This window comes from Homo sapiens, chromosome 12 (genome assembly GCF_000001405.40).
Source record: "Homo sapiens chromosome 12, GRCh38.p14 Primary Assembly".
Lineage (NCBI taxonomy): Eukaryota > Metazoa > Chordata > Mammalia > Primates > Hominidae > Homo > Homo sapiens.
This window is the reverse complement of record NC_000012.12, coordinates 66,500,260-66,525,861: the sequence shown is the minus strand read 5'-3', so window position 1 is coordinate 66,525,861 and position 25,602 is coordinate 66,500,260. Positions and strand designations below refer to the sequence as shown.

General features: G+C 38.0%; 1 protein-coding gene across 22 annotated transcripts in view, besides 1 other annotated feature; it reads left to right on the top strand.

The window, feature by feature from the left end:
• The window catches only part of GRIP1 (glutamate receptor interacting protein 1), a 721,908-nt gene that overhangs the window by 543,477 nt on the left and 152,829 nt on the right, over nucleotides 1-25,602 (top strand). For all 22 annotated transcript variants that reach the window (XM_047428622.1, XM_005268757.5, NM_001379351.1 and 19 more), the window contains 2 exons: nucleotides 7,886-7,961; nucleotides 10,098-10,243. In XM_047428622.1, the coding sequence (XP_047284578.1) occupies nucleotides 7,886-7,961; nucleotides 10,098-10,243 (222 nt within the window). The remainder of the gene's footprint in view (nucleotides 1-7,885; nucleotides 7,962-10,097; nucleotides 10,244-25,602) is intronic.
• Nucleotides 25,036-25,145: an enhancer, noted in NCBI's record as "active region_6620". NCBI's record gives its function as "activates an Ori minimal core promoter by ATAC-STARR-seq in GM12878 lymphoblastoid cells {active_cell/tissue: GM12878}" and the evidence as "EXISTENCE:reporter gene assay evidence [ECO:0000049][PMID:35858748]".

The following is a 25,602-nucleotide window of genomic DNA, read 5'->3' as shown; positions in this document are numbered from 1 at the left end:
TTTTTGTACATTGATTTTGTATCCTGAGACTTTGCTGAAGTTGCTTATCAGCTTAAGGAGATTTTGGGCTGAGACGATGGGGTTTTCTAGATATACAATCACATCATCTGCAAACAGGGACAATTTGACTTCCTCTTTTCCTAATTGAATACCCTTTATTTCCTTCTCCTGCCTAATTGCCCTGGCCAGAACTTCCAACACTACGTTTAATAGGAGTGGTGAGAGAGGGCATCCCTGTCTTGTGCCAGTTTTCAGAGGGAATGCTTCCAGTTTTTGCCCATTCAGTATGATATTGGCTGTGGGTTTGTCATAGATAGCTCTTATTATTTTGAGATATGTCCCATCAATACCTAATTTATTGAGAGTTTTTAGCATGAAGTGTTGTTGAATTTTGTCAAAGGCCTTTTCTGCATCTATTGAGATAATCATGTGGTTTTTGTCTTTGGTTCTGTTTATATGCTGGATTACATTTATTGATTTGTGTAGATTCAACCAGCCTTGCATCCCAGGGATGAAGCCCACTTGATCATGGTGGATAAGCTTTTTGATGTGCTGCTGGATTTGGTTTGCCAGTATTTTATTGAGGATTTTTGCATCAATGTTCATCAAGCATATTGGTCTAAAATTCTCTTTTTTGGTTGTGTCTCTGCCAGGCTTTGGTATCAGGATAATGCAAACCTCATAAATTGAGTTAGGGAGGATTCCCTCTTTTTCTATTGATTGGAATAATTTCAGAAGGAATGGCACCAGCTCCTCCTTGTAGCTTTGGTAGAATTCGGCTGTGAATTCATCTGTTCCTGGACTTTTTTTGGTTGGTAAGCTACTGATTATTGCCACAATTTCAGAGCCTGTTATTGGTCTATTCAGAGATTCAACTTCTTCCTGGTTTAGTCTTGGGAGGGTGTATGTGTCGAGGAATGTATCCATTTCTTCTAGATTTTCTAGTTTATTTGCGTAGAGGTATTTGTAGTATTCTCTGATGGTAGTTTGTATTTCTTTGGGATCAGTGGTGATATCCCCTTTATCATTTTTTATTGCATCTATTTGATTCTTCTCTCTATTCTTCTTTATTAGTCTTGCTAGTGGTCTATCAATTTTGTTGATCTTTTCAAAAAACCAGCTCCTGGATTCATTAATTTTTTTGAAGAGTTTTTTGTGTCTCTATTTCCGTCAGTTCTGCTCTGATTTTAGTTATTTCTTGCCTTCTGCTAGCTTTTGAATGTGTTTGCTCTTGCTTTTCTAGTTCTTTTAATTGTGATGTTAGGGTGTCAATTTTGGATCTTTCCTGCTTTCTCTTGTGGGCATTTAGTGCTATAAATTTCCCTCTACACACTGCTTTGAATGTGTCCCAGAGATTCTGGTATGTTGTGTCTTTGTTCTCATTGGTTTCAAAGAACATCTTTGTTTCTGCCTTCATTTCGTTATGTACCCAGTAGTCATTCAGGAGCAGGTTGTTCAGTTTCCATGTAGTTGAGTGGTTTTGAGTGAGTTTCTTAATCCTGAGTTCTAGTTTGATTGCACTGTAGTCTGAGGGACAGTTTGTTATAATTTGTGTTCTTTTACATTTGCTGAGGGGTGCTTTACTTCCAACTATGTGGTCAATTTTGGAATAGGTGCAGTGTGGTGCTGAAAAAAATGTATATTCTGTTGATTTGGGGTGGAGAGTTCTGTAGATGTCTATTAGGTCCACTTGGTGCAGAGCTGAGTTCAATTCCTGGGTATCCTTGTTAACTTTCTGTCTCGTTGATCTGTCTAATGTTGACAGTGGGGTGTTAAGTCTCCCATTATTATTGTGTGGGAGTCTAAGTCTCTTTGTAGGTCACTAAGGACTTGCTTTATGAATCTGGGTGCTCCTGTATTGGGTGTATATATATTTAGGATAGTTAGCTCTTCTTGTTGAATTGATCCCTTTACCATTATGTAATGGCCTTCTTTGTCTCTTTTGATCTTTGTTGGTTTAAAGTCTGTTTAATCAGAGACTAGGATTGCAACCCCTGCCTTTTTTTGTTTTCTGTTTGCTTGGTAGATCTTCCTCCATCCCTTTATTTTGAGCCTATGTGTGTCTCTGCATGTGAGATGGGTTTCCTGAATACAGCACACTGATGGGTCTTGACTCTTTATCCAATTTGCCAGTCTGTGTCTTCTAATTGGAGCTTTTAGCCCATTTACATTTAAAGTTAAATTGTTATGTGTGAATTTGGTCCTGTCATTATGATGTTAGCTGGTGATTTTGCTCGTTAGTTGATGCAGTTTCTTCCTAGTCTCGATGGTCTTTACATTTTGGCATGTTTTTGCAGCGGCTGGTACCAGTTGTTCCTTTCCATGTTTAGTGCTTCCTTCAGGAGTTCTTTTAGGGCAGGCCTGGTGGTGACAAAATCTCTCAGCATTTGCTTGTCTGTAAAGTATTTTATTTCTCCTTCACTTATGAAGCTTAGTTTGGCTGGATATGAAATTCTGGGTTGAAAATTATTTTCTTTAAGAATGTTGAATATTGGCCCCCACTCTCTTCTGGCTTGTAGAGCTTCTGCCAAGAGATCAGCTGTTAATCTGATGGGCTTCCCTTTGTGGGTAACCCGACCTTTCTCTCTGGCTGCCTTTAACATTTTTTCCTTCATTTCAACTTTGGTGAATCTGACAATTATGTGTCTTGGAGTTGCTCTTCTCGAGGAGTATCTTTGTGGTGTTCTCTGTATTTCCTGAATCTGAATGTTGGCCTGCCTTGCTAGATTGGGGAAGTTCTCCTGGATAATATCCTGCAGAGTGTTTTCCCACTTGATTCCATTCTCCCCATCACTTTCAGGTACACCAGTCAGACGTAGATTTGGTCTTTTCACATAGTCCCATATTTCTTGGAGGCTTTGTTTGTTTCTTTTTATTCTTTTTTCTCTGAATTTCCCTTCTTGCTTCATTTCATTCATTTCATCTTCCATCACTGATACTCTTTCTTCCAGTTGAGCGCATCGGCTCCTGAGGCTTCTGCATTCTTCACATAGTTCTCAAGCCTTGGCTTTCAGCTCCATCAGCTCCTTTAAGGACTTCTCTGCATTGGTTATTCTAGGTATCCATTCGTCTAATTTTTTTTCAAAGTTTTTAACTTCTTTGCCATTGGTTTGAATTTCCTCCTGTAGTTCAGAGTAGTTTGATCGTCTGAAGTCTTCTTCTCTCAACTTGTCATTCTCCATCCAGCTCTGTTCCATTGCTGGTGAGGAGCTGCGTTCCTTTGGAAGAGGAGAGGCACTCTGCTTTTTAGAGTTTCCAGTTTTTCTGCTCTGTTTTTTCCCCATCTTTGTGGTTTTATCTACTTTTGGTCTTTGATGATGGTGACGTACAGATGTGTTTTTGGTGTGGATGTCCTTTCTCTTTGTTAGTTTTCCTTCTAACAGACAGGACCCTCAGCTGCAGGTCTGTTGGAGTTTGCTAGAGGTCCGCTCCAAACCCTGTTTGCCTGGGTATCAGCAGCGGTGGCCGCAGAACAGCGGTGGCTGTAGAACAGCAGTGGCTGTAGAACAGCGGATATTGGTGATCCGCAAATGCTGCTGCCTGATCGTTCCTCTGGAAGTTTTGTCTAAGAGGAGTACCCGGCCGTGTGAGGTGTCAGTCTGCCCCTATTTGGGGGTGCCTCCCAGTTAGTCTGCTCGGGGGTCAGGGACCCACTTGAGGAGGCAGTTTGCCTGTTCTCAGATCTACAGCTGCATGCTGGGAGAACCACTACTCTCTTCAAAGCTGTCAGACAGGGACATTTAAGTCTGCAGAGGTTACTGCTGTCTTTTTGTTTGTCTGTGCCCTGCCCCGAGAGGTGGATCCTACAGAGGCAGGCAGGCCTCCTTGAGCTGTGGTGGGCTCCGCCCAGTTTGAGCTTCCCAGCTGCTTTGTTTACCTAATCAATCCTGGGCAATGGCAGGCACCCTCCCCCAGCCTCACTGCCGCCTTGCAGTTTGATCTCAGACTGCTGTGCTAGCAATCAGCGAGACTCCATGGGCGTAGGACCCTCCAAGCCAGGTACGGGATATAATCTCCTGGTGTGCTGTTTTTTAAGCCCGTTGGAAAAGCTCAGTATTAGGGTGGGAGTGACCCGATTTTCCAGGTGCCGTCTGTCACCCCTTTCTTTGACTAGGAAAGGGAACTCCCTGACCCCTTGCACTTCCCGAGTGAGGCATTGCCTCACCCTGCTTTGGCTCGCGCCCGGTGCGCTGCACCCACTGTCCTGCACCCACTGTCTGGCACTCCCTAGTGAGATGAACCTGGTACCTCAGATGGAAATGCAGAAATCACCCGTCTTCTGCGTCACTCACGCTGGGAGCTGTAGACTGGAGCTGTTCCTATTTGGCCACTTGGCTCCACCAGGAATGTTTTAACAGTTCACATTTCTTGATTGTTTTTGTCTTCACCTATAAGATTTTATACTTCACCAGAGTAAAAATTCTATCAAAATTATTAAAACATTAATTAAAATTAAACATCTTAATAAATATGTATGCATCAAAGAATAAAAGAGATGTGGATAAACTTGTACAGATTTGGATTTGTCTTAAGTGATTGAGTTTTAAATAGTAGCTTTCATTTTGTGCCAGTCACTTAACAAATCAATCAATCAAATGTTTATTAAGCACATGTCAACATGTCAGCATGGAAAGAAGTACTATGGAGTCATAAGACAATACCTTGATCTACAAGGAATTACAGTCCAGTGAATTTAAGACAAAAGTTGATAGAGTGCTCAAGTGAGTAGTAGAGAGGATGTGGAACTAGGAACTCATTGAGAGGTTTAGACTTGTAGTTATTACATTTTTCTGACCAAGGCCTATTTTTAGGTGGAGCAACAGAGCCCAAGATCATTTACCCTAACCATTCCTAAATTTCTGTTTAAAATAACTAGATGAATATAGTGAAAAGTCACTGTACAAGTAATTTTTGGCTGAAGGGTGATATATACAAATCTGTTTTGCAATACAGATCTGAACGAGAAGGTTCTTGAATCACATGCATACATAGCCTAATTATTGAAACACTGTACCAAAATATACTGCTGTTGCAGATATTCATTGATAGTGACTGTATGGTTAGTCAATAGCGAATCAAATTACTAATGAAAGAGCTAAACCAAGAGTAATTTATTATCAAGAAATAAACAGAATAGAAGCAACTGAAATGCACAACCACCTCAAGACAACTGATGATGTAATGTTAGTAAAACACCCTTCCCACAGTTTGCAGGAATTTCCACTATCTGTGTGTATATCCAGGAGTTTTATAATGTGAGCTTAGAATACTGCCTGGTATGTGGAGGCACTTAATAAGTGAATGATTGAATGTTGCCTAGATTTGTGTGGACATCAGACTTCATAGTATTATACTGATTTTAAAAAACTTAAGTTACAATAAGCCAGTATTAGTTTATGAGGACCGCATTTTTATAGGCCTTAATAACTCCCTTAATATGTTGGTTGAACATAAAAGTTTTTGGAGTTTTGAATAATTTCTCAATGAGAATCAAATATAGGATTTCTGTTTTTAGATTAGTTAGAGGTCCATCTGGAGGATTTTCCCTGTTCAAAAGGTGGTCACTACCCATCACTTAAGAATCACTGGTTAATCAGAATGAGAAAGTGCTGTGAGTAAATATTAGTATGGCAGATAAGATATTTTGGCATAGATGGGAGTTGAGCTAAACTTAGATCAATAGAAAATACTAGGACAGTCAGGAAAGAGAAGATATTGCAGATGGAGCATATCTGTTTAGTATGGGAGAAGTTCTAACCTAATAGAATGGAACTTGCAACATTAAGCTTTTAGCTGATGAATGGAATTATATTTCTAATGCTATAAGTCACAGGTTCTAAAACCTTTATTCCCTAAACAATAGAAGCTTGCATCCATAGAATAAAAATGATGTTCTGGCCTAAACCTTGGAGGGTTAAATTTCAGTTAATGCAAGCAAGCCAGAAGAGATGAGTTGGACTGATAGGAAAGGCACTCTGCCATGAAGTTGCTTTACACTTTAGACAAGGAAACCTTCTCTAGTAATTCTCAAATGTAAAATTGTAGGTGGGCCTAGTCATTTAACATATGCTGCTTGATGTTCAGATTTGGTCTGCACTGTGGCCCTGGCATTGATATTTTCAAAAAGCATCCCAGTTGATACTAATGTACACCAGGATTGAGAATATCACTGGTCTCTGAGTGGTTCCTGTTTGGCCTTGCTGCTGCAAACTTCCAGAACCTAAGTAAGTCACACAGGGAACTTGGTTCATTACAAATAACAGTAAAATGCCACATATCAAGAAATATAAAACTACCTCACACTTTAACAAGCATTCGATATTACATATTGAAATTTGTAAATACAAACCAAAATTATGGAACGATTTCTTGCTATCTTTGACCCCCATCCTTTTCTCAATCAGTTTTCCTTTAGGGAAAAGCAAACCTATCCTTTATGATCACCTTGCAAAAGAGAAATTATGTAACAGTATTTACATAAATATGGGCAAGCATTTGTGGTAACATTTAAAATTTTTATTTTAAAATTTTTTTCTGAGAAAGTGGTGAATTTCTTATTTTAAAGAGGAATTTCTAAAGAAGCTAAACACAATGCAAGAATAAAATACTGAATGAGAGCTTTTACCAATCAATCACACTAAACAAATCACTTGTCGTAGAAGTGAGCACAAAAGAAGCATTTGCCTTCCTGAGGAACTGTGAATGCCTTTTAATTTTTCTCTTAGGCTATTTTCTATAAGTTGACCTTTCGGCCTATGCCAGGTTTGGGAAATGTCCATCTGTTCTAGCAGGCAAACATTAAGGGAGCAATAATTGACAATAGGTTTATATTTATCAGATATTGGCAAACTAGAAAACTCCCAGATGGACAGTCAGGATGGTGATGTGCAAAGAAATCAGGTCACATAAAGAATAGATAAGGAAACTGGCATTGTTCAACATTAAGAAGGTGAGATTTAGCCAGCGTATAATCTCTGTTTTCAACTTTCGGAAAAGCATTTTTGTAAAAGAGAGCATACATTTTTATTTTACTGCTCTGGATCATAGAACAAAGACGAGTGGATGAAAGTTAAAGGAAAAGAGATATCAGTTAAATATTAGGAAGAACTTTCTAACACTCCTTGGTGTCCAAATGTGGAGTGAGCAGCCTCACATCTAGTAAGTAGGCCAGCACGCGTGCATTTCATGCAGACGCTGGGGGAGCACAGATTAAGGAAATTGTACAAAAGGGTCATGGATTAAAAAGAAAATTTACAATAAATTACCTTCCATCTTGAAACATCTATGTTTCTATGAATTCTTGTGGAGAAGTTTTCTAACAGAAAGTTAAAATTCCCATTCAAGGATTGCAGCTGGCTTGACACAGTCTGAAAATTTTGCCCCAAATTTTTGAACATCTCACTTTTAATGAAAGCCACTTGGTCACTTGAATTTTTTTTTTTGGCTTTCTTTTTTAGTACTAGGATTTTTCTTTTACTTTGGTTTTTGTTTCCTTTATGTTAGGTTGTAGACCTACTGACCAGTATTTTAGATCAGTTTGATTGGCACAGATATACACATCTGTACTGTATAACTGACAGCTGTTCAAATCGGGCCAGTACTTGATATAATCGGTTGATTCTCTTGCCATTCCAGTTGTTAAATACTTTATATATTACCTGGTTACAGCCATATATTTATTGAAAGATGGAGAAATGGTGACTTCAAAAATATATTCTATATAAAATGAGCAAGACCTTTAAGGCTTTTGTATGCCTCAAGGAAAATTTTACATATTTTCCTCCGTACATCAAGTAGGACATTTCTCAGCTGATATCTTGTAGGTGATTTTTTTTAAATGCCAACAATGAAAGCAGTTTTAAGCTCTGTTCCTTTTCTTTGCTAGGGGGAGCACATGATGATAGAAATAAATCTCGTCCAGTTGTGATAACATGTGTTCGTCCTGGAGGGCCTGCTGACAGGTAAACTTTATCTTTCTGTGTCACTATCCAAAATAGAATAAATAAAGCTGGGGACTTTAACATAGAAGTTGATAAATTAGAAATTTTACAGTAAAATGTAGCTATTAAGCAAACATGTTACAATGTGAAAATTGAGAGTCTGAACTATGGAATCAGAAAAAAAAAAGGTTTGCCTCTAGATTCTATACTTACTATATCTTTGTCAAGTGACTTAATACTGAGGTCAATTTCCACCACCATTGGAAATGTAGGTAATAATACCACCTTTCAGAGCTGATCAGTTTTATCAAAGATTGGAGATATATAATGCCTTGCAGGGGGCATGGCACAGGGGAGGTACTTACAGAACTCAGCATTTAGGCAGATGCTGGAAATGCATCTTCGCCTGTTGCTAATCTCCCAGCCTGGACAGATAGGTGGTGGTGGTGAGATTCTTACCATTCTCAACATTCTTATTATTAGTGTTATTCTTTGATAGTGACTGTGTAGGTCAGAATGGAAGTGACTTTCCGTAAAATGGAAGACATTTCATTAGTCTGTAGAGTTTTCTTTGCATTTCTCTTCCTTGTTAATTTGAATATGTGAAGGGCAAATGCCTTCAACTTTCCTGTTATAATTAGGGCCCCGAGTAAACTCACAACTTAGGTGTCTCTGGAGATACTCATCTCTGTATTAGTTTCCCACAGCAAAAGTTGACTCTATAATGATGGGGGAACACAACTGCTGCCATTAGAGATTGTTGAAGGGGAGGAGGAAAATGCACTGATTCCTCCTGTCTCTCTGTTTCAGACCAGGATAAACTTAAAAACCTTTGTTAAGAGATAGAGATAATAATAATAATAACCATTATTTATTAAGCATTTACTACGTGCTAGGGACTGTTCTGAGGGCTTGGTGGACATTATCTTATTTTATCCTTACAACCACCCTCTACATGAGGTCTTTGTATCCACATTTACAGATGACAGAACTGCCAGTATGGCAGTGAGTAAGTCAAAGAACTGCGGGAGGAATTCAGGCTTCTTTTCCTTTGAAACTCATATGATTAGCTCACTTTTAAGAAAGTGATATTTCATATAAAATTAGAAAATAGGAAAACACTGGTTTCTTACTTTTGCTGACGTATATTTGCTTTTGCAGCGGGTAACAAAATGTCCAAGAGTTTCCCCTTTTCCCTTCTCATGTGTCTAGTGAATCACTCTTCCTGAAGCAAATTAGAATGTTTTCATTTCTTATTAACATTTAGAGTTGGAGTTGACAGAAATGTCAAAACATAGGCTACGAGCTTGTGAGTGGCATACTTGTATTACCAAATTAATTTAGAACTCAAAGAAATCTGAGAATTTAAGAAAAAAATTGGAGCCAAAAGACTTAGAGAGTGAACTAGGTGAAACATTTTTATTTCAAAGGTCATTATTATTCTTTCCAAATCCTAAACATATAATCCCACCATTTGATTTTCTTATTTTTGTGCCCCTCCCTGAGGCAGGGAGTGTTATCTGGGGGCCACCCTGGCTGTACTTTTGTGGTGTCACTGAAGTCCTGAGTCATCTCTCAATGCCTTGAGTGTCTGTGGTCACAGCAGGGAGGATAGCATTTGCCTTCCTCTTCCAGGGAATGTGAGATCGAATCAATTGAATTATTGCCAAATGGCCTTATAAATCAGTAGGGAAATTTATAGACAAGGGAGATTTCTTACCAGCAGTTCCTATCCTGCTTGGATTCACTAGTAATGATTTGAATGAAATTCGCAGGCTTTTCTGCTTACCTGACTTTGGGAAAATAGGTGAATAGTATTTTCTGGCCTCCAATAAATCCATTTTAGACATTCAGGCAAAAACCTAGAAAAAGGGAAAATGTGCCCTTCTTACTTTTGTACTCCAAGAATTACCTGTGGGTAATTAGGTTTTTTTGCTAATGTGTAGTTATTTTCTCATTACTGATTTTCATATTACAGCAATTTTCTGTTCAGGGTTACTTCTTTATACTCTTACTGTCACATTTGATGCTTAAAAAGAATGCAAATGAGATGGATGGCAGAATATGTGTGACAAAACGAATTTGGCTAAAGTGACTATTAATACTAAGCCCCATTATGCTAAATTAATCAAGACTATTCCTTTATTCTCCCTTCAGAGAGGGCACGATCAAACCCGGTGACAGGTTGCTCAGTGTGGATGGAATTCGGCTTCTTGGAACTACGCATGCTGAAGCCATGAGTATTCTTAAACAATGTGGACAAGAAGCAGCACTGCTGATAGAATATGATGTCTCAGTAATGGGTATGTTGGGGTCCTGAGGGTGTGATCTCTAAGCACCAGAACGTCACTGTCTGTCCCTGATAAACCATGTTGGATTAAGTATGTATTGTCATGCCCTCCTGGAGCAGACAGAATTCATAAATACTATATCATTTTACTCTGTTTGAGTTCAGGAATATGTGAGTGGCTGTACTTTACAGTGATGTAGAGTTCTCATGTCAATAGGTTCCATAATAGAGTCTCATTCTGTCAGTGTTTCACCTAGCAATCAGCTCTTCTATGTGGATTACCCTTTGGCAGCAAAGTGTTTTTTCCCCTCCAAATCACAAAAATAGTATTATTAACTTAAGGACTGGTACTTTTTTTTTTTATTATTACATAGAGACTGACAGCAGTAGGTGATTCCTTTCCTTCTTGTAACTTCACAGTACAAAGCCAGCTAATCAAAATAATAGAAACGACCATTTATTTCACAATCAGATTTAGGGATAAGAAAAATAAAGGAGATGTAGTATCATTGATTAAAATAAAAACTTGAGTGCAGTTTTCTTTTTTTAAATTATGATTCTACTAGAAAGAAACTATTTCTACACTCATACCTATAGTAAAACCGACAAGATATTCTCATGTGGATCTTAAATGTTAAGAGAGCCAACGTCTTGTGTAATGTTGACTAAGGCAGAAAAATTATAAGAGAATGAATTGGAACTTGAAATTGAAACTTAAATCATGCTGTGAGTAAACCTTACAATTATCAGACTCGATTAGGTGACCTGACTTTACCAGCTAGTTTTATGTTGTGAAATGTAGCTGAGAAAAAGAGGCTTACTCTATAACTGCATACTCCTTTATTTCTCACACTGTATGACTCATATATAACAATGTCATACAAGACTATTCTTAATCTGTCTGCTGGCCTGAAATGTCTGGAGACTATGAGGTTTCCTAATGGGAAAGTATGAAACTTAAGGAGTTTTTAGAAGGATAAATGATGTGGTATGCCCTTGACATGGAAAGTTCACAAATGAATATCGCCTCCCTTACTTTCCACCTTGCTTTTTTCCTCTCTCCTTTCTTCTCTCCATCCTTCCTTCCTTCCTTTCTTTCTCTCTTCTTTTTGTTATATGTTTTATTTTAATTAGATGTTGAGTTAGATGATTTGGGTTCTGTTTTCAACTCTACTAATTTCTAGATATTAATTTGGAGCACATGATTTGATTTCCCTGTGCCTTATTTGTCAAATGGGGACTAGCATCCCTATTTTAAAGACAATTATGAAGATAAAATCAGATTACATAAGTAGGGTATATTTTAAATGATGAGACAAGTGGATTGTTAACATTAAAAATTGAAGCAGGTATTTGACATCTAACTCATGTATTCAGTCTACAAACATTTATTGAACTAAATGGCAGGGACCAGGAAGAAGGTGAACAAAATAGACCTGGTCCCTGCTCTTATGAAGCTTGCAATGGATAGGAAAAACAGACAGTAAACAAGAATATTACCAAACAAATAAACTCATAAAGTGTGATCGTTGCCATAAAGGACAAGAACAGTATTCTGTAATAGGGAATAAGGGCAGGCACAGGTGAGGGTTGGCAGGTGATTTAAATAGAGCAGTCAGTGAAGAGGTAACAGGTTAAAACCCAAAGGCTTAGAAGGAACCAGCTCCCAGACTGAAGACAATAGTCTCTGTAAGGCTGCAGCATTCCACATCAGAGAGACAAGGTCTCATCCACTGGGATAGATACCATTTTAGGGAAGAGCCCTCCAAGTTTCACTATTGCCAGGGTCAGGAGGGAATGGGGTGTCCCTACCTGTTTGCCTTCTTTGCAACTCACTCTCACATTCTGAATGAAACCTGACAGTTTTCACACCCTAGAGTTCCTAGTCAGCTCCTTATAGGAGAAAGTGGGCCATCAGGAAGGAAACTCATTTTAAGAGTTCCTCAAGGTTGCTGAATATAAGATCATTATACAAAAAATCAGTTTCCTTTCTGTATATCAGCCAAAACAGAAAGTTAAAATTTTAAGGTATCCTTTATAATAGCAATAAAATTATAAGGTTCCAAAAGGAATAAACCTTATAGAAGTTACATGAACCCATTATAGATATAGATATGCATATGCATATACAGATGCATAAAAGAATACTTAAATACATAAAGACCTATATTATGATCTTGGAGGGGAAGCTTTAATAGCTAAAATATGTCATTTCTCCCAAATGTATCAACAAATTTAATTCTATTTAAAATCGCAAAAAAAGCATCTTTGAGGTTACCCGAATAAGCTGTTTCTAAAATGTACATGAAGTTAGAAAAGGAAGCAGGGAAAAATAGTCAAAATATTTTTGAAACAATCTGAAGACAGAGAATATTGTTCTACCCAATATCAAGACTCATTCTAAAATTGTGGCCTTAAGTCTATCTGATATTAACATGGGATAATAAAGAGACCAGTAGAAGAGGATAAAATGCCTGAAACAGACCACTGTCCATATGGAACCAGAGGTATAGTCAAACATCAGTGAAGAAATGTTCAACTAATAAGTAAATGATGCTGGGACAATTAGCCACTTGGGGAAAATTAAATTCCTACTTCATATTACACCCAAAAATAAATTCTATATTTACTTAACCATTTCCCAGTAGATTGCTATTATAAATAACTAAAAAGAATATCTTTCTACCTAAATGTTTGTCTGTATTTCTCATTTCATTTAGACAATGTGTTAAATATATTTCATACATAATTCCAATTGTCTTCCAGAAAAGTTGCACTATTTTATATTACTACCAGCAATGCTTTAAGTGTACATCTCATCAGGGTTTGTCAATATTGAATATTATCATTTTTAATATATCTGATTTGTTAGGTAAACATTGCATTATATTTTAATTTAACTCAAAAAATTTATAGTGCAGGTAAGTATTTTTTCATATGGTCATTTTCATTTTCTGTTGTCATTTATGTCCTTTATTCATTTTTCAGTTGGAGGTGCTTTTAGTTTTTTGTTTATTGGCTTGTATTAACTATTTATATATTAAAGGCATTAGTCATCTGTTTTTCATAAAAACTTTTCTCAGTTGTTTATTTCCCTTCAAAGTTATTTATGGACTTCCATTGTAATAGCTTTCTATCACTCTTAGATAAAGCTAAATAGATACAACAATTTCAGTTAAAAACTTAAGATCTTAAATTAGATAAGGAACAATAGTTCAGTGGTATATGTACATGTCACTATCAGCATTTTGGTCAAAACCATTCAACAAGTCTCTAGGAATTTCCAAACTTTCCCACATCTTCTATCTTCTTCTGAGCCCTCCAAACTGTTCCAACCTCTGCCTGTTATCGAGTTCCAAAGTCACTTCCACATTTTCGAGTATCTTTATAGCAGTGCCCCATTTCTCTCAATACCAATTTTCTGTGTTAGTCCGTTTTCACACTGCTCTAAAGAACTACCTAAGACTGGGTAATTTATAAAGAAAAGAGGTTTAATTGACCCACAAGTCTGCATGGCTGGGGAGGCCTCAGGAAACTTAACAATCATGGAGAAGCAAGGCACATCTTACATTGTGACAAGAGAGAGAAAGAGGAAGCACCACGCACTTTTAAACCATCAGATCTTGTGAGAACTCACTCACTATCATGAGAACAGCATGGGAGAAAACTGCTCCCATGATCCAATCACCTCCCACCAGGTCCCTCCAGCAACATGTGGGATTACAATTCAAGAGGAGATTTGGGTAGGAACACAAAGCCAAACTATATCAACTAGCCTAAGGAGGGAATTTATTAGCCTTAAAAGCCCAAGATATATCCTGGCTTTAGAAACAAGTTTAATAATGTCATAGGAGTTTTGTCTCTCAGTTCTCCTTGCCTGAGAAAGGCTCTCCTATGTCATGGCAAGATGGTCCTACCACCCAAAAGTCTACATTATTTTGAGAGTTTGTGATGCCAGAAAAAGAAACAAGACTGATCTCCTCTAAAAGACTCTTAATGATTTAGCTTGGGGCAAATGCTGATCACTATACTGAGCACTGTGTCCAGGGATATAGTGCACTCTACAACTGTGGTATGGAAGGCAAGAACATATGTTGAATGGCCCAAACAGAATAAGCCAGAGAAATAGCAATTTCCCAAAGTAGATGATGTGGGATTGACAAAGAAAATAATAGGTGCCATTTTAAGACACAATTAAGTGTTAAATATTATATTCCCACTAATAGTATATGAGAGTTTCCTTTGCTTCACATCCTCACTAGTGCTTGGTATTTGTATTAGTCCATTTTCATGCTGCTGATAAAGACATACTCAAGACTAGGCAATTTACAAAAGAAAGAGGTTTAACGGACTCACAGTTCCACATGGCTGGGGAGGCTTCACAATCATGGCAGAAGGTGAAAGGAACATTTCCCATGGCAGCAGACAGGAGAAGAGAACTTGTGCAGGGAAACTCTCCTTTATAAAACCATCAGATCTCATGAGACTTATTCACTATCACGAGAATAGCATGGGAAAGACCCACCACCATGATTCAATTACCTCCCACCATGCCCTTCCCACAACACGTGGGAATTGTGAGAGCTACAATTCAAGATGAGATTTGGATGGGGACACAGCCAAACCATATCAGTATTCTCTGCCTGTTTCATTCTAACCATTCTGATCAGCATGTGGTAGTATCTCATTTTAAGTTTGATATACATTTCCTGGATGAATAACAATGTGGAGCACCTTTTCATTGCCAGTGAGACATGCTTATGGCTTTGGTTTTACTTTCATTAATAATACTTTGATTTATTTACATACTATTACAAGTACACAAATTATTTCTTAGAAAGTGTGTGTGTGTGGTGTATGTGTGTACAATATAGATATCAATACCTCAACCCTGGAGTCAGATATATTTATTCAGTAAATCTCAAATGATAAACTTTAGCAAATTCAGTGGTCTGTTTAGGAAAGCTATTGAAACTATCAGTTTTATTAAATAAAGTTTAATTTAGTCTGTGTTGACATTTTAAGGACAATTTTTTTGAAATAAGGAAGACTGAGAAAAATAAGTTTGAAGAAAAATTAAGAGTTCAATTTTGGATATGCTAAGTCTGAGATGCCTGTCAATCATGTAAGTGGAGGTATGAGTTGAAAGTTGAGTATTTTGGGGGGAGTTCAGTACACAGGTCAGAGCAGAAGATATAAATTTTTAAGTCATCATCACTTATATTGCAAGGCTAGATGAGATACGTAGGGGAGAAAGCTTAGACAGAGAAGAGAGAGGCCCAAGGACTGAGCTCTGAGACCATCCAGTAGTTAACCAGGAATGCGTAGAGGGCCCTATAGAATAAATTGAGGAGGCCAATGCACTGATGGAGACAGTGAACGAAGGCCAAGCGTGGAGTCATGGAGGCCAGATTTTTCCTGTGTAAAATGGTAGTAATTACACTACCACCCTCAGAAGTTGCTATGAGGAGCAGAAGGGTTAATGCATATGTGGTGCTTGGCACATCATATGTGCTCAATAAATTGTGAACAAATTATTTAAAATGCATATGGGAAAAACTTCCACTTCAATATGGTTGAACTATATTACCAAATGATTGGGTCTGAGAGCCCTGTGGTTGGAAAAGTAACATAAAAGTATAAGGAAAGCATGAGCATCTTTTTTTTTTCTTCTTCAACTTTTAAGTTCAGGGGTACATGTGCAGGATGTGCAGGTTTGTTACATAGGTAAACTTGTGCCATCATGGTTTGCTGCACGGATCAACCCATCACCTAAGTATTAAGCCCAGCATCCAGTAGCTATTCTTCCTGATGCTCTCCCTTCCCCTGCCCCCGTGACAGGCCCCAGTGTGTGTTGTTCCCCTCCATGTGTCCATGTGTTCTCATCATTCATCTCTCACTTATAAGTGAGAACATGCAGTGTTTGATTTTCTGTTCCTGCATTAGTTTGCTGAGGATAATGGCTTCCAGCTCCATCCATGTTCCTGCAAAGGACATGAACTCATTCCTTTTTATGGCTGCATAATATTCTATAGTGTATATGTATCACATTTTCTTTATCCAGTCTGTGATTAATGGGCATTTGGGTCCATGTCTTTGGAAAGCATGAACATCTAAGGAAAAAAGTTCTGAAAGCAATGACTGTAGTAAAATACAGTGCCTTTTAAAGTCAGACAAATTTGGTTTTGGATTTTGGCTCTCTGTTGACCTTGGACAATATTTAACCTCTCCAAGCTTCAACTTTTCCATCTCTAAAATAGGGATGATGGTAGTACTTCTTCATAGGACTGATGAAAAGATGAAGTGAGTGAATACATGTAAAGTGCTCGCCTTAACCAAACTGTTAGTGAATACCAAGAAATTTAATTGGCTCTTAATGCTCCACTTCTCTAAAATGAACCTCAAGTCTCCTATTATGCTGAATTAAGATGTAGCTGATGGTTCACTCTGTGACAACATTGAATTGTTGCTAGGAAGCATATTTGGAAATGACATGTTCTGGATCATTTTATTTTCTATAAGTTCATCGGAATACTTATTTTGCTTAGACCTTTGCTAAAATATTTATAAAATATGTCCCTGAGAATATATATTAAGTTAGGTACTTGAGTCTTTGGTGGAGGAGCACACAATTATCTCAAGAACATCATTCTGAACACCAATCCTTGGGCAGGTGTTACAGAGACAAGAGATGTAGAAGATTGTGCCAAATCTGTACTGACTTGTAACTTGCTCTGGATTTTTAAAATTACATGATTCTCTAATAGTTGTCTATTTTATAACTTCCTTCCCTGGGGAGAACCACAGACGGCAGTCAGTAACCATGAAATTCTTGCTGGCTGAATAAAACAAGGCTCACTGTAGAGTAATTGTAACGAGAGACAGTTAATGTTTACAGTGATCTTAGTAGCTTTCAAATATAACCAACAAACTATTGTAGTTGATAATAAAGATGGAACAATAACTAAAATATTTTTCCCAAATGCCCTGAGCTTTCCCACTGTTGTGCCCAATATCTAGTATTCCTATGCACAAACTTTGCAAAACTATAGTACCGGCCCAGGTCAAATCCATCTCCCTCATTCATCCTGTTCTTATTTGGATTATTCAATCTCTCATTTTTCCTTTTGAGAGAGGAAGGAGCACTCTCTGTAATACTTTCCTGGTGACTCTTGAAAGTATTTACATTTTACTTTACCTTAATAATCTGTGTGTTTTTCTGTTGTGCCACTAGTTCTACAAACTCTGTGGGGACACTAACCAATCATCTTTATCTGAGTATTTCCATAACACCTAATGTGGAGCCCTCACACATACCTAGAAGGCACTTAAAGACAACTGTGAATTGAACAATGTGTTCACCCATAGATTAGCTGTTCTTATGAATCATCATCATTAAGCGGTATGTGTAGAATGTAGCAGAACATCAATGTTTATGCTGTAGGTTTAAAATGAAGTTACTACATGATTTTATCTTACATTGCACAATGACATCGTGGATCTTTCAATCACAACACCTCTTAATCTACCTATGACATTTTTCTGAATTCCTGTAAATCTCTGTCTTTCCCTTTAGCTGTTACTTTCCTTGCTCAGCTTCAAACCTTTCTTTTTGATCACCTAGATTATGCTAGCATGCAAAACCAAGGATACTGAGAAAAGTTTTATCATTTCCTTAGAAATGCCCTACAGTGTTAGCTAGGCATGGTAGCACCCATCTGTAGTCTTAGATACTGAGGATGCGGAGGCTGGAGGATTGTTTCAGGTCAGGAGTTTGAGGCTGCCATGAATTATGATCACACCACTGCACTCCAGAATGGGTGGAAGAGCAAGATCCCTCTGTAAAAAAAAAGAAAGAAAGAAAGAAAGAAAGAAAGGAATGCCCTATGGTATTATATCTTTGCCCAGCAGCTACATGGGTAGTCCTTACTTATACGCCTTTAATCTTGAGCAAACATAAAATAGCAATTTTTAAATAATTCCTTTTTATCAAGACTGCTATGAGTCTTCAGAAGAGATTATTAACTCCCTTGCAGTCAAAAACTATAGGTTTATTGGCATTATCACAACTGCATCTTGGCTATAGTTTGTATTTTATTTTGGGGGGATATCAAGATATAAAACTTCTACCAGTCGCAAGAGTAAATTAGCCACTATTCATACTTTATTGATTTCTTTTTTTTTTTCTTTTTTTGAAATGGAGTCTCGCTCTTTCACCCAGGCTGGAGTGCAGTGGCACGATCTCGGCTCACTGCAAGCTCCACCTCCTGGGTTCACGCCATTCTCCTGACTCAGCCTCCCAAGTAGCTGGGACTACAGGTGCCTGCTACCATGCCCGGCTAATTTTTTGTATTTTTAGTAGAGACAGGGTTTCACCATGTTAGCCAGGATGGTCTCCATCTCCTGACCTCGTGATCCACCCGCCTCGGCCTCCCAAAGTGCTGGGATTACAGGCGTGAGCCACCACGCATGGCCCATACTTTATCAGTTTCTTACAGGTGATCTCAATGAGCTGGAAACAGTTTTCCAAGGGCTGCTAAAGTATTTATAACACGACACACAAGCTTCCTTGTGGGTTACCGACTTAACTTTCCTTTCAAGGAAAATGTCATTAAAGGGAAGTTCAGAGGGTTTCCCTATATAAAAGAAGTCTATAAGTTTTAAATGACAATGGTATTTTACTTAGAATGTTATTTTTCTAAGATAAAAATTGGATTTTCTTATACGTTCTCTGTTTTTTAGAGGAAAAAAAAAGGTTTATTTTTGCAGAATACTCTGGCTCCCACCTTCCTCATTCCCTTTTACATATTCAAACTCAGAGCCACTTACTATGTTTCTGGAGATAAAACTAGCGGGTGAGAAAAGAGTTACCCTAGTTTAGGAAAGGTTATGAATTTTTAGTTACTTTTATATTACTAAATTAGAATAGAGTATGCTTTAAAATTTACTTTTGTATTATAGTACAACACGCAAAGAGAAAAGCACTGAAATCTTAGTTGTACAACTTATTAAATTTTCATTTATGTGTTCTCCATCGAGGTCAAGAAATGAAACATAATTATTATCACCAAAAGCCCCATTGTGTTTTCTCCCATCCCTTCCCCATGTGTAACCCCTGTCTTGATTTCCTAAACCAGAGATTCATTTTGCTGGACTTTAAACTTTATATAAATGAAATCATACAGTGTATTTCTTTGGTAGCTGGGTTCTTTTGCCCAAATTATGTTTGTGAGATTGTATCATATTGTTGTCTATAGCAATAGTTCATTCTTTTTCATTGTTTTATAGTATTCCATTGTGTGAATAGATCACAATTTGAATACTTCCTTATTTGATTACTATTTGGGTATTTTTCAGCTTGCCACTCCTATAAATAATACTATTGTGAACATTCTAATATTTGTCTTTTGGGGAACATATGTATGCATTTCCATAAGATTATACCTAAGAGTGGAATTGCTAGGCCTTAGGTTACATGTCAGTTACATGCTTTAGTAGATACTGCCAACGAGTGTTTCCTAAGTGGTTGCACCAATTTACACTCCCACTAACAGTTTCACATCCTTCACATCCTCACCAGCACTTGGTATTGTCAGTCTTTTTCATTTTAACCATTCTGAAAAGAATATAATAATATCTCATTGTGGTTTTAATGTCTATTTCCCAGATGAATAAGAATGTTGAGTACCTTTTAATATTGGCCATATAGATATTTTTGTGAAATGGTCTGCTCAAGTGTTCTGATCCATTTTCTTTCTATTGGATAATTCTATTCTTCTTATTGGTTTATATGATTTCCTTATATATTGTGTATACAAGCCTTTTTTCAGTTATGTGTTACAAACTCATCCTGGCTACTGAATGCAAAATAAATGCCAAAATTGGTACATATAAGCTATACATTCCAACAAACTTTTGGGTTACTTTTTGGAATTTTTTTAAAGAATTAAACACAGAAGCTTGGAAGAATATATAAAATTATTCTCTAATATTTAGATAGATGTTGCTCTTGGGTTCCCCACACCAACCCCTCCCACCATTACTGTATTATTTTTCTATTACATTGTAGCAAAATGCCACAAAGGGTAGTGATTTACAGTTTTATAAGTTAGAAATCCAGGCAGGCGTGGATGAGTTTTTTGCTTAGGATCTCACAAGGCCTAGGTCAGGATGACAGCAGGCTAAGCTCTTATCTGTAAGGTCTGGGAAATAATCCCTTCCAAGCTAACGCAGGTTGTTGGCAGAATCAATTCCTTGGAGTCAGTCCAAGGTCCTCATTTCCTTGCTGTCTGCTCTCTGGAATCATTCGCTGTTCCTAGAAACCACCCACATTTCTTCTGACATGGCCCTCCATCTTCAAGACAGCAACGGTTCATTGAGTCCTCGTATTTCATATATCTCTGACTTTCTCCTCTGCCTTCTTCTCATACTACTAGTTGGAGAAAGTCCTCTACTTTTAAGGACTCATTTGATGACCTTGGGACCACCCACATAATCTCCCCTTTTAAGGTCCCTGATGCCAAATGACATAACATAGTCATTGGAGTTATATATTGTATCATCATATTAACAGAATCTGTGGCTTAGGGCATGGAATCTTTGGGGGATAAATTCAGAAATTCTGCCTGTCATGGGACTGTCCACCAAAATCAAGACAAAGAGACAGGAACCGACTAGAAAAGAAATGCCAGTAGTTGGAAGTCTAACCAATTGTTTAGAGGTTATCAGCTAGAGCAACTCCAATGCCTAGCAATGTGCCTGGCATAAAGGATACTCTCAATAATATTTTTCAAACAAATGAATAAGTAGCTTTTGAGATTTTTTCTAATCTCCATATTTGACTACAGCATGTTTTATTATCTTTCTCTGGATATTCTTGGACAAATAAATGATAAAGTATCACAAAACTATGTACATTATATATGAGGCTCATCTAGGCCAGGGGGAGTCAATGATTTTCTATTTTTTATGTCATCTCTGATTAACTGGTGGTGGCCATCTGAAATACTGCATTGAGAAGGATTTTGCAGTTTGAAGATTGTTGAGGCTTGAAGGATTTTGAAATTTAAAGGAAAAGAGCACTGTGATTACCTACACCATCTACCTGAGCACTACAGGTACATATGATTACAAATGCATCTTATTACCATCCCACACCCACTTAGAGACCCAAGTGAGATTCAAGCCACTAGACCAAAGAACCAGTCCATATCTAATTCAGTTTCAGAGGCTTTCTATATGATAAATCTGAATAATAGAATAGTTTGTTGTCATCTTTTCACTGTAACTAATCCCCATTTTTTACACCCTCTACAAGAGGCAACAAACTGGAGGGCATGGCTGTGGAACATGTATTTTTCAGCCTTCACAATGTTTTTGAGAAGTTGGAATTTGCTTTCAACACCTAAAAAGAGAGACTTTGTATTTAGAATAAATCTAAATATTGGGTTACTCTTAGTAATTCGACATCACTGGGCCAACATTCCTGCATGTAACCCTTAGCTTGAGTTGACTCTCAGACTGCCCCTCTTGATGGGGATGTTCTCACCAGTTTGTCCAAATCATTTCCCTGACAGTACAGCCTTATAGCAAGTCACCATCATGCCTGTCCCTCAGGCACTTGGGTTTGTGATTCCCGCTCTACACAATGACCTTTTTGTTTTAGCCAGCCTAGCTCCAAGACAGCCTAACTTGTATACACTCTCAAAAAGATCCCTATGAAAAGTTCCTGTCCCAAGTGGTCAACAGTCTTCTCTTTCTAACCTCACATTTCCCAGAACAGATATTTGGGAGGAATGGGAAGTTTCTGGCAGAGTCCCAGTCTCTCTCTTCATAGCCACTGTAGGCTCCCCCAAGCTTTTCTCCCTTAGGCCTGCAGCCTCCTGTTCACCACACTCTGATTGTTTCTTTCAGCTCAGGGGGCACATGTGTATCCTGACAACTCATTCTGTTAGGGGTAGAAGGTATTCAGGTTACCAGTGGCGAATCCGTATGGGTCTGCAGCAACCTCGATTCTTGCCTCCTCAGAAGAAAGAATTCAACTGAGGGGCATAAGGCAGAAAAAGAGAACAAGGCAAGCTTTCGGAGCAGGAGTGGAAGTTTATTTTAGAAAGCTTTAGAACGGGAAAGAAAGGAAAGTACACTTGGAAGAGACCCAAGCAGGCATTTAACCTTGACCCTGGGGCTTTATATGCTGGCCCACCTTCAGCATCTTGCACCTCTTTCCCACGATTTCTCCCTTAGGGTGGGCTGCCTGCATGTGCCCTCCTTATGCTTGGGAAGTGAGCATGTGCAGTGTGTTTAGGAAGTTGTATGCATGCCCATCTGAAGGTTTCTTCCCTTTTCTGGTGGGATGCCCCCAAAAGTCATAGTCCACCATTTTGTCTCTTAATGCACGTGCCCGGTTCACTCGCCCAATTTCTGAGACCCTGTTGAAAGCCAATTACCAATTTTAAGTGTTTTTATCTGTTTGGGAAGTTGCCTCTCCCTGGTGTCTGCATTCAGTTAACACTTCATTGTGACAGCTGTGGACCGTCAGGAGATTATCTCTCCCTGGTGCACTGGCTGCTGAATTATCATTTTTAGAGCAGCAATGTGATAACTGCCAAACCATCACCTGATAATCACCTGACATTCCTCGTAGGTGGGGAGCAGAGCCCTCTCCTGCCCTGCTCATGCCTAACTTCATGTAACAATTTCTAATATGCTAATTGTTCATTTCTGGGTCTTTGAAGTAATTTGGATAGTCTGATTTTAGTGTAGATTATGTTAGGCCATTCTTGCATTGCTATAAAGAAATACCTGAGACTGGGTAATTTATAAAGAAGAGTGGTTTAATTGGCCCACAGTTCTGCAGGCTGTACAAGCATGGTGTCAGCATATACTTGGCATCTTGGAAGGCCTCAGTGAGCTTTTACTCATGGCAGAAGGTGAAGTGGAAGCAGGCACATCACAGGACAAGAGCATAAGCAAGAGTGAGAGAAGGAGAGGGTACCACACAATTTTAAACAGCCAAATCTTATGAGAACACACTATAGTGAGGACAGCACCAAGCCATGAGGAATCTGCCCCCATGACCCAAACACCTCCCACCAGGCCCCACCTCCAGCACTGGGAATTACATTTCAACATGAGATTTGGAAATGACATCCAAATGATATTAGAGGTATTCATAACCACTTTCAAATTCCTGAGTAACACAAATGTAAGAATACAAAATACTGTAGAATATAATTTAGGAGCTCCTTCTAGAAGCTTAGCATTGTATTAGGTACCATGGTGATGAGTAGTTGATTCAGAGTAGGAGTAACATGGACAAATAACTTATAAATTTTTCTCTAAGGGCCAAATTGATTATATTTTAGGTAATATCCATTGTGATAGAATCAGAAGGGTTTTTTAAAAATCTTTGGGCCACTACTCCTAACTCGTAACATAAGGAGACCAGACTATATCATCTCAGAGGTCCTTCCAGCTCCACTATTCTGTCTCTGGACCTGATAAATTCTCTTAAAATATTTCAGAATTTATCATCACTGCTTTTTTCATTGATGTAACCATAAATACAAAACAAAAATGCTATAAATAAAAATAGTTTAACCAATTTAAAGTGATTATAGCTAAAATCACTATCTAAGAAGGAAAGTTGATCATTTCTCTTGTTAATCACATCAAACCCAGTAGTCCCATTGACAATTACAAATTTTTCAAAGATTACTTCCCAGCATTCTCACAGTAGGTGTAAAGCCAACATGCTGCTGTGAAGCCATTATCTGTGAAGATTTTGATCTTAGCATTCTGAGATATTTACTAAATTAATGGGAAGTTGGTTAAAATTCCCTCCTTTTCAGATTATATATGGGACTTCTAAAATGAAACATGTCTTTTAGGGAGAAAATTATCCCTTTAATTTTAGCATATTTTAAAAATAGGAAAAACTGACTGAATTCTGTCAGGGGAGGCGATCTCTCTTTGTGTGATGAGTTTCTTTGAGGTCATGTATATGTATTAGTTAGACAAGAATGGCTTTTCCTTTTGAGAAGAGTAGCAGGCAAGCACTTCTATTGATCACAAGGTCAGTCTGAGGCCATCTTTTATAGAGTGCTATTAAGTACTAATTAAGATTACTTTTCTCTGTGATTGTATACTAATTTTACATTCCTCTTAATAAAATGAGCTCCAGTCATTCACTGGGGAAAAAAATATTCTTCTTTTTTACCTTCCATTAGCCATTATATAATAGTATATAGCTTCAAAAGAAACAAGACTACAATATTCCCCACCAGGCGTGACGTAATTTTCTCCATGTTTAAGCTATCTTTGTCCAACAGTATTAACTTCAGTACTTGGTATGTAATAAAATTATTTTTTTAAGAATTATTTCTGGTATACCAGTGGGTGTTAAAATACCAGGTTAACTCCAACAGTCATGCTGTCAAGGAGATAAACTATTTTACTACTTGTTTCTATGACTTTGACACTGAAAATGACTCCTAGATACACCTGTGAGATCACCCAGGAGGGTACAGTTGCTCAATACAGTAACACCCACTGAGTCCCCTGTCTCCTGGCTCTTCTGTGTGACACAGGTTTCACAACCGTGATAGAAACTGCCCTGAAACTGTCTTGAGGTCAGGAGGTCAGAGCATTTTGGTAAGGACCCTCTGGTTTACTTTTAAGATTAAAGAAGAGTTTCTCTACTGCAAATTCTCAGAAGCAGGTTGAGATCATACTTTTAATGTGAATTTCTTTTGAGAGCACACCAATATACAATGTCTTCTTTCTGTAACACCTAGTTCTTACTACCTGAAGACATTCTATTGGTAGCAGTAAAATAGGAAATGGAAAAGCCAGCAAGCTTTCACCTGATCTCTATGGGGGCATCACAGGTTGGACTTGTCCTCACTGAAAATCACTGTAGCATCTAATGGAGTCATTCACATGGAACATTGAATGATTGACTATTACACAGATCACCTCTCCTACTGAATTATTTTACTTAAGAACAAGTAAAATGCAAGAGACTCACTGTGAAATTTTTCCCTGAACCTCTTTACCTTTTCTGTCTCTAAAGACTCTCTCTCATAACATTGACATCTGTTCTCACAATTCCCATCGTCCCTATTTAGACATCTCCCTGTTAGTTATAAAATAAAGACCACAATTTTTAGTCTAACACTAAGACTCTACCCAGCCTTTCCCAGACCTACCTCTGCTAGATTTGTTTTTTGTTGTGCTTCAGCCACACTGAACACCTAATGATTTGTCACCGAGGTTTTACTATGTTTTTCTGTTTCTTCATGACTTTCGTCCTATCTGGAGACAATAGAGTATTGTGATTAAAAGGACTCAGATTTGTTTCCTGGCTCTGCA